The sequence below is a fragment of the Homo sapiens genome, chromosome 17 (assembly GCF_000001405.40).
Source record: "Homo sapiens chromosome 17, GRCh38.p14 Primary Assembly".
Classification (NCBI taxonomy): Eukaryota; Metazoa; Chordata; class Mammalia; order Primates; family Hominidae; genus Homo; species Homo sapiens.
Window position 1 is genome coordinate 56,528,634 of NC_000017.11, and position 19,051 is coordinate 56,547,684.

The window sequence follows — 19,051 nt, forward strand, 5'->3', positions numbered from 1 at the left end:
ATGGTTTGAGATGAGAGAATTTGCAGAAAGCCAGGAGGAAGATGATTGTTTAAAAAATAAAATTTTGTCATTGTCCCGCCTTGGGTCTTTTCCACACCTTTCCAGTGGAAAGCCTGTTTAACCTGCTTTAAAAAAATTGCAGCAATTGGAAGTTATGAGTAAGGGTTGTGTTGCTTTTCTATTTGACCTCCACTCCTGCAGGACTGAACAATTCAATCTCTCTTTCCCAGCTTACCTGTGGCATGTGGGGCCTGCTTGACTTGAATAAATGGCTGTTTATGGATGATAGCATCTGGTATGCCCCTGATTAGGTCACTGTGTTATGTTAAGTATTTCTACCTCCTGGTGGAGAAACCAAAGCTGACAGTTCTCAAGACCACCACTGCCCAACACAGACAGCACAGCACCCGAGATTGGATCTACCCCTTAGAAAGGCCAGTTAAGCTTTCTGTCAACTTGCAGCACTCCTCTGGGACTGTAGGAGGAGAGCAAAAGATAACAGCTTCAACCTAATAATGACAATATTCATACTCCAATGGAGAACCTATCTGTACAGGACTCTGAACACCTCATCTGGTTTGATTCTCACCACCACCCTGGCAAAGTTGCTATTGTTGCTTTGATCCCCATTCTACAGATGCATGGATTGAGGCTTGAATAAATTAAGCAACTTGCCCAGGGCCTCACCTGAAGTAAATAGAAGGCACGGAATTTGAGCTCAGGTCTTTCTGGCTCCCAAGTTTAGAACTGTTCTACCATAGGTTCTGGGAAAAGCAGCCTGGAGCAGTGAAAAGAGTCATAAATACTGTGCAACCCAGTTATTCAACCTCACCTTGCCTCAGTTTCCTTGGCCATAATATGTTAGAATTACTACCATTACCCTTAATAGGACTGCTGTGGGCCAGCTGAAATCTTAGATATGACTTGAAAATTTACTGAGTACCTCGTGGACAGTTTGTTGACTGAAAGAATAGCAATAAATGAATCAATAAATAGGTAAACTAACATTTCTTCTGAGTGTAAGTTCCCAAAGGAACCCCTATGACTGTTAGGAGAGTAATCTAAAGACTCCCACTGCTAGCTCCTGAGTTCCTGAACAGCAATGGAAGATTTGGATCTTTAAGATCAGAGTTTCCTGCATGAAGCAAAGAACTATGTTTTCCTGAACTGTAGGCCAATGAAACTCCAAAAAGACATGTTTTTCCAATGTTCTCTCAGTAGCTATCCTAGGATGTAGAGGAACATGTGAAAAAAAAACCAAATGGATTCGTTTTTTAATAAGGTCTGAAAGGCATACCAAATTATTTCGGTTCTCCAAGGTGTCTGCTTCCCTCCAGCTGTCCAGGGTTTTCAGCTGGGTCTCAGAAACGAAGTTCAGGACACCCAGACAAGTAATTCTAACCAGCAGTGCCAGGAAAATATTAATGTTTAAAAAAATAAAGCAGAGATTTGTTTATTTTTTAAACATGTACATATCTTCCTATAACGTCCCTCACACCCAACAGCCCTGGACAATTCTGCTTTCACCTGAGCAGGATTAACAAGTTCAGAGCCAAATCTATTCGTGTCTCACTAACCCAACCTTGTAAGCATCACCCCCAACCTCTTTTTTCCTCTTGACGCTGATTTTCAAGCCTTCACTCCCCTGTGAGATAAATTGGTTCTATTCCGAAGATGGTGGGGGCGTTCGGCTGGGATGACGCCGTTGTGGTGAGCAAAGCCTCCGGAACTATTGGGCCTGAAACTCTCTCCAACCCTGGCCTTTAAACAGCCAGTTCCCCAGATACGGCAGCCAAGGCCTGCTGCCTCCTGCCTTGAGAAACAGCCCAGGGGTCGCAGAAGGAGACCCCAGAGAGCCATAGGGTTAACCAACCAACCATAAACATTACCTCCTCTGTTGATCTTCAAAAGTTTGGGGAAAGAAAACAAACCACATAAATCTTTATCAGGGCTCCTTACAACTGCCCTGGGAGGTGGCTCCAAGAAGAACTCGGTAGTGACTCTGTACGGAGGATAAAAAATGACTTCAATGAGCAAATCCAGTGCCAGAAACAGATTGCTTTTATTTCTATTTTATTTTTTTACTCTCCACCCACCCTCCACCCCCATAAAAATGACTTCTTTTTGTTATTTGCCACCCAGAAACTCCATGGCGAGAATCCCTAGTCTTCTATTGGCTTCATTGTTTCCACTGTAGATAATTCCTGGACAATGCAAAAGAAAGAGGAAACGTTAGCTCAAGGGCTATAGTGTTTAGAAGTCAAGGGAAGAGGTGCCATGTCCATGTTAGAGGCTAACCAGATAACTAACACATCTTCTATGAATGGGATCATGGAGTAGAGTAGATTAGATGTGGGACGGCCACTCCCTCCTGAAAATCTTTCAGTAATACACCTTTCCATCCAGGACAAACTCTCCAAACCCTTCCTAAACTTCCAAGCAGACATACAAGGCGGTGTGGCCTGCACCCAAGAGCACAGAATCTAAACCTGGCTTCTGACCCTCACTCTCTAGGGGAACTTGGGGAAGCCACTCACCTTCTGCAGGCCCCATGCCCTCATCATAATAACAGTAGGTAACATTTATGAGCCATCTAGTAACTCCAGCTTAACATGTTGTTAAATGCCTTGTGTACATTTTAAACCATAACTCTCTGAGGTTTTATGAAACCCATTTTACAGATGAGGAAACTAAGACTTACAGAGGTGAAGTAATTCATCCAAAGTGACATGAAAACAGGGATAATAGCACTTACCTCATAGAGTGGTGAGGAGTGAATGAGATAATGTCTGTAACGTGCTTAGCATGATTCCTGGCACCTCGTGAGCTCTCATTCAGAGAGTTCTCCCGCCTCTGGAAATCGTCCCTGAACCCTGACCCTCAACCTGCCCCACCCTCCCAACCTCTCTACTGGGTCCCTGCTCCCAGGCCCTTGTCAGTCACCCCACCTCAGGAGCCCTTCAGGGGCAGCGATGTGTCTCATTTCTGTAGTGTCAGCCAGTGTCTGGCACACAGTAGGGGCAGAGTAAGTGAGTGTTAAACAATGAATGAAACGTTATAAGCAAATGCCTAATTAGTAGACAGCTAATGCAAAAAAAAAAAAAAAGCAAAAATAAATACTAATAATGAAATGACTTGTTCTAAGGATGGCAAAAGATCCAAAATTTCCTGGAGGAGCCTGTATGCTAGTGGAAAAATGTACAAAAGGGAACGAGGAACTAAGTCATCCTCTTTTTTTAAATACCAGCTTTCACTGCAGTTTAAGGGCTTCACAGACTTCCCCAGAATGCCCATGAATCATAGGAAGAGAACCCAAGAGTCCTGGGTCCCAGCCATTCTGACTAACTTTAGCAAATGTCCTCCAAGCCCATGGAAGGCAGACTGGTATGGAAACCACACCCATATCCACCTGTGTGCACACTCACACACACCTGCACACACACACACCTGCACACATACACATGCACTTACACAACACCAACAAATCAATCTCTCAGCATTGACTGAGCACTTAGCTGGTGCAGTGCCCCTTACAAAATTCAGTAATAAGATATAAAAGATTCCAAAGACCCCAGGACACTGACCATACAGAATGAACAGTCTAGCTGTGGAGTAGGGGCTGGGAAAATGAGCAAGTGTATTGCTATACTAATAATACTAGCTATCATCTTCCGGATATGTGCCAGGGATACACAGAATCCCCAAGGATAATGTGTTGTTTGAAAACGGATGTTCATTCATTCAACAAGTGTTTATAGTGCTTCCACCCTGTGCCAAGTGTTGTTCTAAGTGAAGAGGATAAAACAGTCAACAAGCTGGACAAAGGCCCTGCCTTCATGGCGTTTACCTTCTAGTACTAGAAATTTTAAAACCCAATGTTACAAATTTGTTTGAAAACGGGAATGAAATGTAAAACAAACTACAGAAAGTTAAGCTTCACACAAAGCTTCTCATTTACTGGGGAAACACAGAAGATGGTGATTCTTTAGAAAGAAGAGGACAGGTGCCTTTGGCAGAATCTTTAGGAGGTAGGATGGTGGAGGCTGGTGTGTTTCTCAAAAGGCAGAAGGAATTAAAAGAGGCCTCCTTAAAGTTAGGGCACTTACCTGATGTCCTCCAACTAGTAGCCTAGGGATATTTCCACCAGTAAAATTCCCTCTCCCATCATATCCTGAACCACATTGGCAAGATATGGTGGGAGAAAGCCCATTGGCCTGGAAGCCAGACAGAGTGCATGTAAGCCCAAATAGTTCATTAACTCCTATAAAATTGTAGGGTAACCACTCACCTCCCCATTATGTAACAAGAAGCCTGGGTATAAAGCTGCTACTTAACGATTCTTCTCCTTCTCCTTCTCCTCCTCCTCCTTCTTCTTGTTCTTCTCCTCCTCCTCCTCCTCTTCCTTCTTCTTCTTCCTCTTCTTCTTGTAATTGCTGTTGGCTTCAGACTTACCCCCCACACAACACCATCCTCGACCTCACGGCTTTAGACAGATAAGGGCAGCACTGTTTACTATGGGACAGCGCTAGACACTGCCCACACATCATCTCATTTAATCCTCTCAACACCCTCAAAGGGATGTATGGCTTGTGATTCGCTCAAGATCCCACAACTGGAAAATGGCTGAGTTGAAGACACTCAGACAAGTAATTCTAACCAGCAGTGCCAGGAAAATATTAATGTTTAAAAAAATAAAGCAGAGATTGGTTTATTTTTTAAACATATACATATCTTCCTGTAACGTCCCTCACACCCAAGAGCCCTGGACAAGGGCTTCATGCACTTAACCACTGGGCCATACTGGCTCCCTGGGATCCTGAAAGCATTGCCTTCCCCAAGGCACTGTCCTAGCTCAAGAACCTCTCTGCCAGCCCAGGTGACCACCAGCTGCACCAGGTTCAAGTGCTCACTCTGGTTGACCAGATCTCCCTATTAGCTCCTGCCATGCCATTCTCTCTCCTGTATCTGTCCTTTTCCCATGTGCCTTCCCCACCCTGAACATCTTTTTTTCCCATGTGCCTTCCCCACCCTGAGCATCTTTTTTTGAGCCATCTATCTATCTAAATGTTAAAGGTCCATTTCTTCCCCATAACTTTCTTCAGCTTCTCTGTCCCGCACGGATCTAAATCTTCTCTGAAATGTCTAGTTCACACTTAGAGTCAGCATTGCCTTGTCTAACACTTACCTGTTCTCAACTCAACAAGCATTTATTTATTGAGCCCCTGCTCTATGCCAGGTGCAGTATTCAGACCTGTAGAGAACACTGAAATGGAAAGATCCTCAAGGTTTCTGCAATCTCTAAGGGGACGACAAGATGTGCATGCAAATGACTGTACTTTATCCAAGACAGCATAGTGTCAGGTCCATGAGAAAGATCCATGCAGTTTTAGAGATGTTTGTTCAGTGTCCTTGGCTAGGTGTGTGGAGGTATGCACATATAGTGTGTGCAAACTCACTTCCATCTCCCACCAAATGAGGCAGCATAAGAAGGGGGTGAAGGGAACGGGTTCTAGAACCAGAATGCTGGGGCTCAAATCATCAACTGTGTGACTTTGGATAAGTTACTGAACCTTGCCTCAGTTTCCTCATTTGCGAAAATGAGGATAAAAATAGCACATCTCTCACAAGGTGGCTGCGAAGAGTAAATGAGTTTATATATGTGAAGTCACCACCTAGTTTCATGCCTGGTACATGAAAAGTACTCAGTAAATGTCTGCTTTTATCAATATTAACATTATTATTATCCAGGCCAAAGGAAGTTCCTCTGCTCCGCCATTTTTTGTTTGTTTGATATTTTGTGCAAAGTCCTATCAACATGCCATTTTTAGACTGTATCATTGGACCTTTTCTGCAGTCCTAACAGAATTCTCCCGCTGCTAGTTGAAGGGGGAGGTGGGGGGCGGGTTTCACTGATTTTATTATATGGTAGTTGTTGCTTTCCTCCTTTCCAACATTTTAACAGATTGCTCTTGTTTTCCCTGTCTTTGGAGGGAAAATGGGGAACACAATTTTCCAAATGAAATCAATGCATAAAGCAAAGAGCTCGGCTCCTCCTTCCTGCAGACATAGCCCTGCCAGCTGCTAGGCATCCCTCCTTCATGCAGGCAGCCCCTCCAGTTTATACTTCCCAGTGGGACAGTAATTTTCAGTTCAGGCCAAAAGGCTTTGTTTAAATGTGACACTTATGTGGTAATAGAGCGTATTGCAGGGGTCTTTTTTTCTGAGGGTCAATGTTGAATTTACTCTCAAAATAAACAACTCTATCCTTTTCCATCATCTCAAAGTTGTGGGTGGGATTGAAAAAGGTGGAAGAGACTACAGCATGAAGAAAACGGAAGGAAAAGAAAAAGACAGGGAAGGCTCCAAGGAAGTTTAGAAAAGAAGGAGAAGAATAGGAACCAGTGTCCTCCACAAATGAAGCAAATCTACCTCCTATCTTCCTGAATGATTTCACAAATAACAACAGCAGATATTTACTGCAAATCTGCTGTGTGCCAAACAGTACACTAAATGTGTTACTGACATGGTCTCATTTAATTAATTAGATTTTTTAAGAGATGGAATCTCGCTATGTTGCCCAGGCTGGACTTGAACTCCTGGGCTCAAACCATTCTCCCACCTCAGCCTCCCAAGTAGCCAGGACTACAGGCTCACACCACCACACCCAGCTTTATTTATTTTCATCTGAATCCCCCTGCAGTATATGTGATTATGACCATTTTGCAGATGAGGACACTGAGAATCAGAGAGGTGATATAACCTGCCCTAAATTGCATAGCTAGCAAGTTTGTCCAGCTGAGGTGAGAACCCAAGTCTCTCTGGCTCTGCTGAATGTGTGCTGTCTACTGTTCCTTGGGGCAGCATTTGAGGACTGTTCAGTAATGGAGTTGATGAGGGGAAAATCATGGGATCGTATGTTCTAAACTAAGAATCGATATAGAGCTGGACACACGTTATAACAAAGCCGTGTAACATTTGATATTGAGTCTGCCTAGAATATATAAAATAAATGGTTGCCCTACAAGAGGGTAAGGCTGAGGTAGAAAGCAACAGGACAAGCAAGGGATGAATGGAACTTGGGAATGCATTTCCAAGTGGAGAGGGAGAGGAGAGATTGGGTGCTGGGGAGAGACAGGAGCTAATGGTTACCCTGTAACAGTGAGTCTAGAACTCATGAGATGCTACACCGAGAAGCCAAAGGAAGCCTTGAATCTTGCTGTATGCCAGGCAAAGGAAAGAGTGTGTCACAGAAGCCTTGTAGCTGTAGATTGTCACAGTCACCACCCAGGTGTCTCCAAGCAATACTGTGGGACTCTTAGCACAGAGCAGTCTGTGGATTTTCCAGCACTCCTCGAAGAAATTGTTTCAAGGGCTTAAGTTTTCTTTCCAGAAACCTAGCTTAAAACCAATTCTCTGCCAGACGTGCTCTCCAGGAATTCTTGACTGTGAATATCCTTCTCACCCAGTTAATTTATGGCATAAGCACCCCCATCTTGAAACAGATTGAATTAGGCAAAATTAGAAGTCTGGATCATCTCTTGAGCCTACCTCCAGGGACAAGAAGAATGATGAAGACATGGAGATTCCAGATAAAATTGGACAAAATGAACACAATTATTCCTCAACTGGAATTTTGGAAGGACTTAAAAACCAGTTCTAGGCCAGGGGCAGTGGCTCATGCCTGTAATCCCAGCATTTTGGGAGGCTGAAATGGGAGTATTCCTTGAGCCCAGGAGTTCAAGACCAGCCTGGGCAACATAGTGAGATTCATTCCTATAAAAAATTTAAAAAGCTTAGCCAGGTGTGTGATGCATACTTGTAGTCCCAACTACTCAAGAGGCTGAAGTGGGAGGATAACTTGAGCCCAGGAGGTCAAGACTGGAATCATCTGTGATCTCTCCTCTGCACTCCAGCCTGGGCAACACAGTGAGACCCTGTCTCTAAAGAAACAAACAAATGGAAAAACAACAACAACAACAACAACAACAAAAAAAAACAGTCCTTTGTCACTTCAACCCATTGACGTGCTTGGGGCTTGTTGATGTATTATTCATGTTCTTTCTCATCCCATGGACGTAATGAAATAAGAAATAGATATCAGTTCACAAGAATAATGACTGATGATTTGGTATATGGGATGCACAGACCAAAGACTCAAAAGTCAACTCTTATTAAAGCACTGTAATCCACATTAATATGACAGACCAGAATAACTCTGAGCAAGCCATTATGGTCCATTATGAAAATAACGTTCATTTGCAAAATGAGGAACATACCAAAATGAAAGTTGTTCCAGTTCTTTCAGCTAAATTACACATTAAGCATGCAGACTTCCTCTTCCAACATTTTGAAATGGTTTAATGTGCACTCAGGCTGGCCAAGCCATGGATTTTCTAAGACTGCCACAAAGGTGAAGCCTAGAAAAATGAGGGCTGATTGCCAGAGAGACATTCAGCCCTCCTGGGGTGTTGATCAGGTGGTCATGACTGTGCTTTGGAACTTCACCTTGGGGGATAAGATTGACACCAACAGGCAGCTGTGAATCCCAGCTGGCTTCATGCAAGAGCTTATTGGCTGCCCACCTCCAGTAGTTGGTTGTTAGAACTTGGGGATGAAGTGTAGTGGACATTTGTTGTTCTTGCCTTTCGAGCATTCATTCGTACCGTCTTCTGGTAACAGCCCCCTGAATTTCCTTTGGAAACCATCTCTTCACTATTCTCAGTCCATGCAGTAATAGCTAAGAATGGTAACTAACATACATTAAGCTCTAACCACATGGCAGGCACTGATCTGAGCATTTTGCATAATTAACTCATTTAATCCTCATACCAACTCTTTGGTACAGGTACTATTATTATTCCCATTTGAGAGATGTCTCAGATAACTTACAAATAAATATGTAATTTGCTCTTAAATGGCAGAACTGAGATTTACAAATCCAGGTAGACTGCATGCAGTGCCTGTGATCCTAACCACTAGTAGTTGCAGTAGGGCTGAACTCTAACACAACTTCAGGCTCATGAACTAGGTCTGGCCAATTCAAGCATCATATATTACCCAAAGTAAGCCAATCTTGTCCAATGCAAACCCAAGGTTTTATGCTGGAACAACCAAACGTAGTTTCTTGTTTGTTTGTGTCTTCTGAGCCTGGACCTGAGACAGGAAGTCTTGAATGTCTGGGAACCACCATTTAGAGAGAACCTAAGAATAATGCCAATGCAGATAAGATCAAAGCTGAGAAGATATTGGTAACAATACCCAAGCACCTGAAATTATTACACTTCCGGGACTTTTCTGATATATGAGCCAGTCAATTCTCTTTTTACTGAAGCTAGTTTGACTTGGGTTTTCTGATATTTGCAACATAAATAATACAGAATTCAACGTGTTAGTCTAAGAATAATACTTTCCATTTATGTACTACTGTACAATTGCCAAAGCTTTTCATTTAATTACTTCAATATTGCATTTATTTATTCATCAATTTATTCAACAAATAAATATTTACAGTTTATCTAATTACAGTCACTGACATAAGTCAAGGTGATCCCCTCCCCGTTCCTCTCTTAGCTATAGTTGGTTCCCATAATTATGTGCCCATCATTCTTGCAGCACTTACCTCTAATTACTCTACATGGATATCTATAACTTAGCAAAACATAGGCTTCTCTGGCTGGGTGGGCACAGTGGCTCACGCCTATAATCCCAGCACTTTGGGAGGCCAAGGATCACTTGAGGTCAGGAGTTCCAGACCAGCCTGGCCATAACATGGTGAAACCCCATCTCTGCTAAAACTACAAAACTTTGCCAGGCTTTGTGGCTTTTGCCTGTAATCCCAGTTACTCAGGAGGATGAGGCAGGAGAATTGCTTGAACCAGGAGGTGGAGGTTGCAGTGAGCCAATATCATACCACTGCACTCCAGCCTGGGCAACAGAGCAAGACTCCATCTAAAAAAAAAAGAAATAGGCATCTCTGAATTAGAAGTTTATTTATCCTGGAATCTCTGATATCCACCTTGGCCCCTGACACTCATTCATATTCATTTCTTTAGGAATACTTACATGCTGGGTACTATGTGACTAGTCAACATCACCAGTTAGACACAACAGAAAGCAACTCTGGCTAACTTAAACATAAATGAAATTCTGAAGGGATATCAAGTAGCCCAGAGGATCACCAGCAAGGTTGGAGAACCAACTTGTAAAATGGATAGGCAGGAACTAAAGGAATTTGGGCAGCCATAGCACAGCCAAGGTTATACCTCAGATGAGTCAGTTAGGGCATTGAGGCTGACACTACTGGACACCAGACGCTGCTACCAGGGCCACCGAAAAGAATCCTCAGCCCTCCCTGCTTCTCTGCATCACTGATTCCAGATTCTAAGACCCAGGCAGGAGCATCTGACTGGCTGAGCTCTGGGGACACGCTGTGCCCTATCTGTCAGATATTCTCTGACACATAAAGACTTTCCATCTTTCTTATTGGAAGGCAAATCCCTGCCTCTCCTGAAACTTACACCAAAAAAGGCTCCCCAAATATTTCTTATGTGGCCATGAAGTGACAATTGTCAATGATGAGCCAAAACAAAGCCCCAAAATAAAAGCAAAATACATGGTCAACATGGTCTTTGCCCTCATACAGCTTATAGATTAGTAAGAAAAGAATCCATAGAGAATCATTAATTAAATAATTAGGCAAGAAACAGTCACAGCTGTGATGAGTACAACGAAGGAGAGGAATGATGTACCCCAAGGAATATAATACTGCAAATGTGTTTCAGGTATCCGTTGCTGTGTAACAAACAATCCCGAAACTAGTAGTTTAAGACAAACATGTATTTTTGTCTCTCATGGCTCTATGGACTGACTGGGCTCAACTGGGTGGTTCTGACTTGGCCTCTGTCATGCAGTTGCAGTCAGATAGCAGCTGGAGGTGGAGGCACATGAAAGTTCAGCATCATGGTCAGTTGACATTGGCTGTCGGCTGGAACTCAAGCGGGGCCTTTTGACTACAGCACCTACCCATGGCCTCTCCATGTAACATGGGCTTCTCAGAACATGGTGGCTGGATTCCTAGAAGGGGAGGTGTCCCAAGAGCAAGCACTCTAAGAGAACCAAGTGGAAGATGCAAGACTTCTCATGACTGTCTCAGAAACTGCACAGTGTTACATCTGCCACATTCTATTGGCAAAAAAAAAAAAAAGAAGGTCAGAGTAGACTCAAGGAAGGGGAACCACAAAAGTACATGAATGCTGGAATGTATGGTTCATTGGGGATCATCTTTGGAAATTAACTCCCACAAAAATTTTGAAATAGAGGAAATGATCTAGTTTGGGGGGGTCAAGGAAAGTTTCCAAGAAAGTGCCATTGCTCTGAGATATAAGAGTTGAGTTGAAATTAATGAGATAAAAACAAGAAGTATGTTCCAGGCAGAGGGAACAGTATGTGCAAAGTCCCTGTGGCAGTGAGCAGCAGGACACATTCAAGAATATAAAGAGAGTAGAGCTGATGAACAGAGACTAAGGCAGGATGCGAGACAAGATAAAACAGGAGAGGCTGGGCATAGTGGCTCATGCCTGTAATCCCAGCACTTTGGGAGGCCAAAGTGGGCAGATCACCTGAGGTCAGGAGTTCAAGACCAGCCTGGCCAACATGGTGAAACCCCATCTCTACTAAAAATACAAAAATCAGCTGAGTGTGGTAGTGGGTGCCTGTAATCCCAGCTACTCGGGAGGCTGAGGCAGGAGACTAACTTGAACCCAGGAAGCAGAGGTTGCAGTGAGCCAAGATCACACCACTGCACTCCAGCCTGAATGACAAAGTGAGACTCTGTCTAAAAAAATAAAAAATAAAAATAAAACAGGAGAGTTTGAGTAGAAATTCATTCTGGAAACCCTTCTATAGGCTATGCTAAATATTTTGTTCTTTACCTGAAAAGCAATGAGAATATTTTTAAGTGGCCCTCAGAAAATATTCATAGATTAAATGAACGAGTGAATGGCTTCAATCATTCTATGGATACATACTGAACATTGACTATGGGTCAGGAAAAATAAGCGCTATGAATAAAATCAACCTGATAGAAGTGGCTGGAGGCAGAGGATGATACAAAAGCATGAGGCATGGCAAAATCTGAGGAATGAGCATTCCCAGTAGAACACAGCAAATGCAAAGGCCCTGTGGTGGAAGTCAGCTTGGTGTGCTCCAAGAGCAGAACAGAAGACCATCGTGGCTGGAGTACTACTGTCCTTGTAGGGAAGAATTCAAAGCCAGCTTTCTATAAATGGCAGGGGCACCAGCAATGCTTTCATATCAGGACAGCACACCACCAGGACTGCGGCTTCGGTGACTCTGGAATGTCTCTTCCTGCTAGAATGTTTGGAATGCTCTTTCTCTCTGGCCTGGCTCTGCCTGTCCTCGGCTATGAGACTTATCTTTCATCATGTACTTCCAAAGCTCAACAACCCCCAAGGAAGCAATTTGGCAGAACGTTCAAAGAACCTTAAAGATGTTCATGCCCTTTGATCCAGTGATTCCCCATCTAGGGATCTAGCCAAAAGAAATAATCATAAATATGGAAGAAGATTATCCCAGCATGATTTATAATAATGAAAAAGTGCTAGTAAATCAAATATTCAACCATAGGGGAAAGATTAAGTAAATTAATGTGCATCTTCTAGATGTGGGCATTAAAAACTATGTGGCTGAAAGACTAAAATAACAGGAAAGGCTTGTGTTATAATAGTAAGATTAAAAAGAGGATATAAAATAGTATATATACGATTTCTTCAACTATTTAAAAAATTATATGCAGGAAACAATGCTGACAGTAATCATTTATTTAAGGTGAAATTACAGGTTATTTATTTTTCCTTCTTTTCTATAATCCTTCTACTTCCCATAATGAGGATTATTACTTTTAGAATAAAAAATAAATTTTATTCTTTTTAAGGAAAAAGAAAAAAGAAACAGCAATGGCTTCCCACTGCCTTTAGGATCATATCTAAACATCTAAGCAGGCAGTCAAGGACTTCACAATCTGGCAATGAATTATATTTTCTACTTTAAAAAATTAGATTTGTTTCTTGTCTCCCAAGATTTTTTTCCTTTACCAGAATTTGATGTTTCAGCTAACACATGTTTCATCTGCTTCCCCAGAAGACAATTTTTTTGACAATAGACATTTAAGCATGCTATCTTCTTCCTACCTGGGGTTCAAGGAAGGGAGGGAGGGAGGGAGGAAGACCTATCAACCTCCACCTGCTCTCATCTAAATCCTACCCATGTCAACTGGTGCAGTGGTTCACGCCTATACTCCCAGCACTTTGGGAGGCCGAAGCAGGAGGATCACTTGAGCCCAGGAGTTCAAGACCAGCCTGGGCAACATAGCAAGACTTTCTATCTACAAAAAAAAAAATGTTAAAAATTAGCCAGACATGGTGGTGCAATCCTGTGGTTCCAGCTACTCAGGTGGGAGGATCACTTGAGCCCAGGAGGTAGAGGCTTCAGTGAGCCGTGACCATTCCACTGCACTCTAGCTGGGTGACAGAGTAAGATCCTGTCTCAAAAAAATAAGAAATAATAACAATAAATCAATCCTACCTATCTCTCCACCTCAAGTCATTCATTCCTCACAATGCCTTTCCTGGTCATGGTGGCCATCTCTGATCTCCCTTTTCTAACCATCGATATTCATTATCATCACATCTGGCTCTACACTCACATATGGGGCTAAACACGCCTGGCCTTACAGTGCTCCTCAGGCTCAAGGTCTTGTCTTATGCCCCATATAACTAATCATTCCTGATATGATTTTATTGCCTTCCAGGATCATCCCATCTTGACCCCTAACACAGTCCATCTTGTTAATCTCATAACGGTAAATGAATGTTTTATTAGTGAATAAAAGAGTAACTGTATCTGAACAAGTCTCTAAGACAAAACAGCATCTTTGGGAAATTTCATTCTACGTCTAGCTGAGGCCCAGCTCATGATGGGGCTGTCTTTTCTGTGCAGACAAATTTCCCTCCCTCCACTCCAACCTCTCACACCCTCTCATCCCCACCCACCCACCACCACTTACCATCTCCAGCTCACAAGGATTTCAAATCAGGGCTGGCAATGTCAGAGGGAGATTGACACATAAACTCCACACACAATCAGCCTACTCAAGAAAGGACGCTTTTGTTTTCTTCCCCATGGGCCCCCATAAATTATAAGTTACAGCCTTTCTTTATTAAGTGAGCCTAAGTTTAGGGTAGAGAAATCATCGCTCACCCCGCAGAAGTGCTTTCTTTCTTTCTTTTTTTTTTTTTTCTGAGACACAGTCTCTCTCTGTCGCCCAGGCTGGAGTGTAGTGGTGTGATCTCAGCTCACTGCAACTTCCACCTCCCGAGTTCAAGTGATTCTCCTGCCTCAGCCTCCTGAGTAGCTGGGATTACAGGTGCACCTCATCACATGCCCGGCTAATTTTATATTTTTAGTAGAGATGGGGTTTCACCATGTTGGCCAGGAGGGTCTTGAACTACTGACCTCAGATGATCCACCTGCCTCAACCTCCCAAAGTGCTGGGATTACAGGCGTGAGCCACTGTGCCTGACCCAGAAGTGCTTTCTGTGGAAGCAGATTTGCCCTAGTTTTGAGCACATCCATGCCATAAAGCATGTGTCTCTGTTTTAATAAGCTATTCATCATCTCCCTGCAAAAATACTGAGGTGTCCAGCCCCACTTTGTGCTCTCACAGCACACACCTCTAAGTGCCTTTCTCTGTTGGCTAAGTTACTGCTTTGCCTCACTCTGTGAGCTCATTAGAGGGCCAAGCTGTATCTTACTGTCTTTGTTTACTCAGCACCAAGAACAGTGCCCGGCACATAGTGGCCCTGAGTTTTGTGCTTCGAGAGGGAGTGAATGAATGAATTATAAAGGCCTGTGAAAGCTCAGAAAGAGCTGGCTTCCAACTATGGATTTCCATAATAAAATTACTTGCTAATGCCCTGTATTCGTTTACTAGAGCTAATGCAACAAATTGCCACAAACTTGGTGGCTTAAAACAACAGAAATTTATTTTCACACAGTACTGGAGGTCAGAAGTCTAAAATCAAGGGATTAGCAGGACCTGCCAAAAGCTCTAGAAGAGAATCCTTCCTTGCCTGTTCCAGCTTCTAGTGGCTTCAGGCATCCTTGGCATCTGGCTGCATAACTCCAATCACTGTCTTCATCTTCACATGGTCTTTTTCTTTTCTCTCTGTGTCTCTTCTCTGTGTGTCTTTTATGAGAACACTTGTCATTGGATTTAGGACCACCTAGATAATCCAGAATTATCTCATCTTGAGATCTTTAACTTAATTACATATGTAAAGGCCTTGTTTCCAAATGAGGACACATTCACAGATTCCAGGGATTAAGATGTATATACGTCTTTGCGGTAGGGGGGAGGTTTACCATACAATCCAATAAGTGCACTTATTATGGTAAAGATATATTTTATTCTCACTGTAACAGCTAGCATACAGTCAATTTTTTTTTTTTTTTTTGAGATGGAGTCTCGCTCTGTTGCCCAGGCTGGAGTGCAGCGGCGCCATCTCGGCTCACTGCAAGCTCCGCCTCCCAGGTTCACACCACTCTCCTGCCTCAGCCTCCCGAGTAGCTGGGACTACAGGTGTCCACCATCACGCCCGGCTAATTTTTTGTATTTTTAGTAGAGACGGGGTTTCACCATGTTAGCCAGGATGGTCTCGATCTCCTGACCTCGTGATCCATCCGCCTCGGCCTCCCAAAGTGCTGGGGAGTCAATTTTTTAAATGGGTTGGATGGATGGATGAATGGATGGACGGGTGTTCTGTCACTACCCATAACCCCTAACACACTTAGTTAGTGCCTGCTAACAAAATGTGGCTGAGAACAATTTTTCCCAAGTGCCAATGCTATCTTTTCTCCCACGACCACTTAAGATTGATACTCCTGGGATCACATCCACATTATCCCTCCATAATATCTCTACTAATGTAAAACACTGAAGCAGCCATTTGAAGAAAGGCTAGAGTGTTTTACACAAATGTCTTGGGGTAGTAACTACACCAAGCGTTTGTTGAATTGATTCAAATCAGCTTAACTCAATTCCAGAAACATTGACTATGCACCTGAATTTTGCCCACAGAACTTGCCTGAATAAATTGTTTCCTCTCCTGGGCAAACAACCTAGATCAGCAACCCTGAGCTGTCATCTCATAAATCCTAAATTTTACTTAAAGCCAGCCCTATAGCATGGTACAAAGTTCATGTCTTCCTTCACAATTTTGATTAGCCTCTCAGCTTAACAGGTGGACAAACAATAGCAAAGGCAAAATCAAACCTCATTTGAGTTGTTGACCCAGAGCAAGAGAGGTGATTTTCAGAGAGTGGAGAAGGGCAGAAGGAATGCTATGCCACTCTTGACAAATGGCACCAATTTGGAGCCGACTTTCCAACGGGGAACACTTGTGTAGAACCCAAGGACCCAGGTACCAACAGAGCTTGTGTGTCACTTGTAAATGTGCGAGGAATGGGCATTTCAAGCTCAGTCTGACACACCCTGTGAATGCAGCTATTTTGGCAGCATCAATCCCAGTGTCTATGGAGGACAGAACAAACTCAAATTAACCCTAGTTACTTCCTTGAGCTCTGCTCTCTGAGAAGGAGTCAGCCAGGCAGACAGCTGCCACTGCAAATTCCACTCCCTGGGAACAATGTACTTTATTTTTGGAAAGAGGGAAAAGCAAAGGAGAAGAGAGCAATGCCGACAAATATACATTTGCTTTTCTATTTATGCAAAGCCCCTATCCCTTCATCACCTCAGTTACCAGTTGTTTAGAGCAACCTTAGAATATAGACTTGTAAATTGTCACTGGCCTGCATCCCTGCAGAGAGTAACACAAGTCAGCTTCCAGGATGGCACATCCCATTGCTGTAAAGAGCTGTAAAGAGCTACAAATAAAAGGATTATTTCCATGACAGGCTGTTGGCCTGGATGGTTATAATTAATGCTCCTATACAATAAACACTCTCTCTGGATCCTTTCTATGTAAGAGTCACTCTCTATAGTAATAGTATCCTGATTATGGGCTCTTCATCATACAAGAAAAAAAGGTGAAGAAAGCAAAACTGCCCCTCCTCGCCATTATTTTCCTACCATTTTCTACATCTCTATAGTTACTACTTCCCATGTAATTTCAAACATCATTTTAATCATGCTTTCTAAAATATAACCCTACATGAAAAGCCCACTGGTGGACACAAGGAAAGAAGAAAGGAAGGGCGAGAGGAAGGGAAGGGAAGGAGGCAGGAGGGAGGAAGGGAAGGAAGAGAGGGAGGGAAAGAGGAAGGGGGGAAGGGGAGGAGGGTGGGGGGAGGGGAGGAGGGTGGGGGAGGGGAGCAGGGTGGGGAGGAGGGAGAGAGGAAGAAGTCAAAGACAAAGAAAAAATTTTAAAACAGCTCTACAGGGACAAGGACTGTGTCCTGCTTGCCACTACATTCCCATAACCTAGCAGGCCTAGTAGCCCTGGTACATAACAAGAATTAATTATTTAATGATAATGGGAATATATGCAAAAATGATCTAATAAATGGAGAAATAGGCTTAGTTCAAAATTGTCTATATGACAGTTTCCTTCTTCCACTGTTTGGTTCAGAAGCCATTTTGTCACTAATTTACTTTTAGGGAAAAGACTGAAAATGAACATTTAATGAACACCTACTATGTACCAAGTATTTTGACTTTTTATCTCATGTAAAACCACATGATAACCCAAACTATTTGATAAATGATACACACATGCTGAGAGAGGTTAAGTAACTTGCCCATAGTTACACTGCTAATAAGTGGAGAAATGGGAATTTAAACACAAACCTATCTGACTATATAACCAAGAAAATATGACTGTGTCCTGCTGCTTCTCAGGTGATCATGAGGGTGTGTCTGCTTCAATATAGCATCAGCTCCTAAGATGGGACTGTGATTCACTGGGTCTCCTTGTAAGTAAATTTTACTATGACAAAGCCATTGGGATATTTGGAGAAATTATTCATAATGAGATCTTATTTGTTATGCATAACACTAAGAGGCAGTTTAAAAAAAAAAAAAGATACTAGCGCCGTTTGATTTACTCCCTATGGGATTTCTAAAGAAGAGTCATCTGAGAAGTCAGAACCACATATGTATCGCTTATTTATTGACTATCTCTCTTCTGGAATCCAAAAATCCAAAAGAAAAGGTCATATTTGTTTTACTCACTATTCCAAGCCTAGTACCCAAGAACTATGCCATGGCACTCAATTTTTAATGAATGAAAGAGATGACAATGAACGCTCCATTGATTAGACTTCTGTATCTGCAGACTGGGACTCCAGACAGACTAGGATGATAACATGTGAAACTGTGGGGCTTTGCTGAATCAAAAGCATGGTCTTGGGAAACAGCTGAAGAAAATGAATTCATACTATGGAGAATTATTTTCTCCCACTCAGCTATATTTCACATTCCAACCACGTGAAAGGCCCTGAATCAGATGGAAAGTAGCATTTACTCAAAGTTCAAGCCATCTTTAGGGGCAACCCAGCCTCCTCCAATTTCCCAAACAACTACACATGGTGGCTGTGGTCAGCAGAAGGCTATGAAAGAACTTTGATCCACCTGGAAGGACCAGAGATTCAGGATCCTAAGCCAAAGCCAATGAGCTTTCACACATGGAGATAAGCTGAAAGAACCCATGCTTTATTTGGGGCATGGCCTATGGAGACTCCAAGAAACTTAAAATCTTTTCTCATTTGTCACCAGAAAAATGTGGCCCAAGGTCACCCAGCTCATTAGTAGCAGAGCCAAGACTTAAACTCAGGCCTTCTGACACCTTCTTATCCAAAATTATTTTTACTACCCCAGAAGAAGGTGTGTGGTAGAGGCCAACATAACATGAAGAAGGGAGTAGACAGCATACAGTCATCACTCTCATGGACTAGATGGTCACTGGGATTCTGAGATAAGTAAAGGACAAAGAGAGGCACATACATGCATTCCCTG

General features: G+C 42.8%; 1 long non-coding RNA gene across 1 annotated transcript; it reads right to left on the reverse strand.

Moving 5' to 3' along the window:
• Nucleotides 1–4,219: 4,219 nt before the first annotated feature.
• Nucleotides 4,220–10,306, reverse strand: LOC112268194 (uncharacterized). The gene is made up of 3 exons (XR_002958121.1): nt 10,063–10,306; nt 9,058–9,201; nt 4,220–4,483 (listed from the first exon to the last, which is right to left on the reverse strand). It is a non-coding gene; the product is annotated as an uncharacterized LOC112268194 (long non-coding RNA).
• Nucleotides 10,307–19,051: the final 8,745 nt, after the last annotated feature.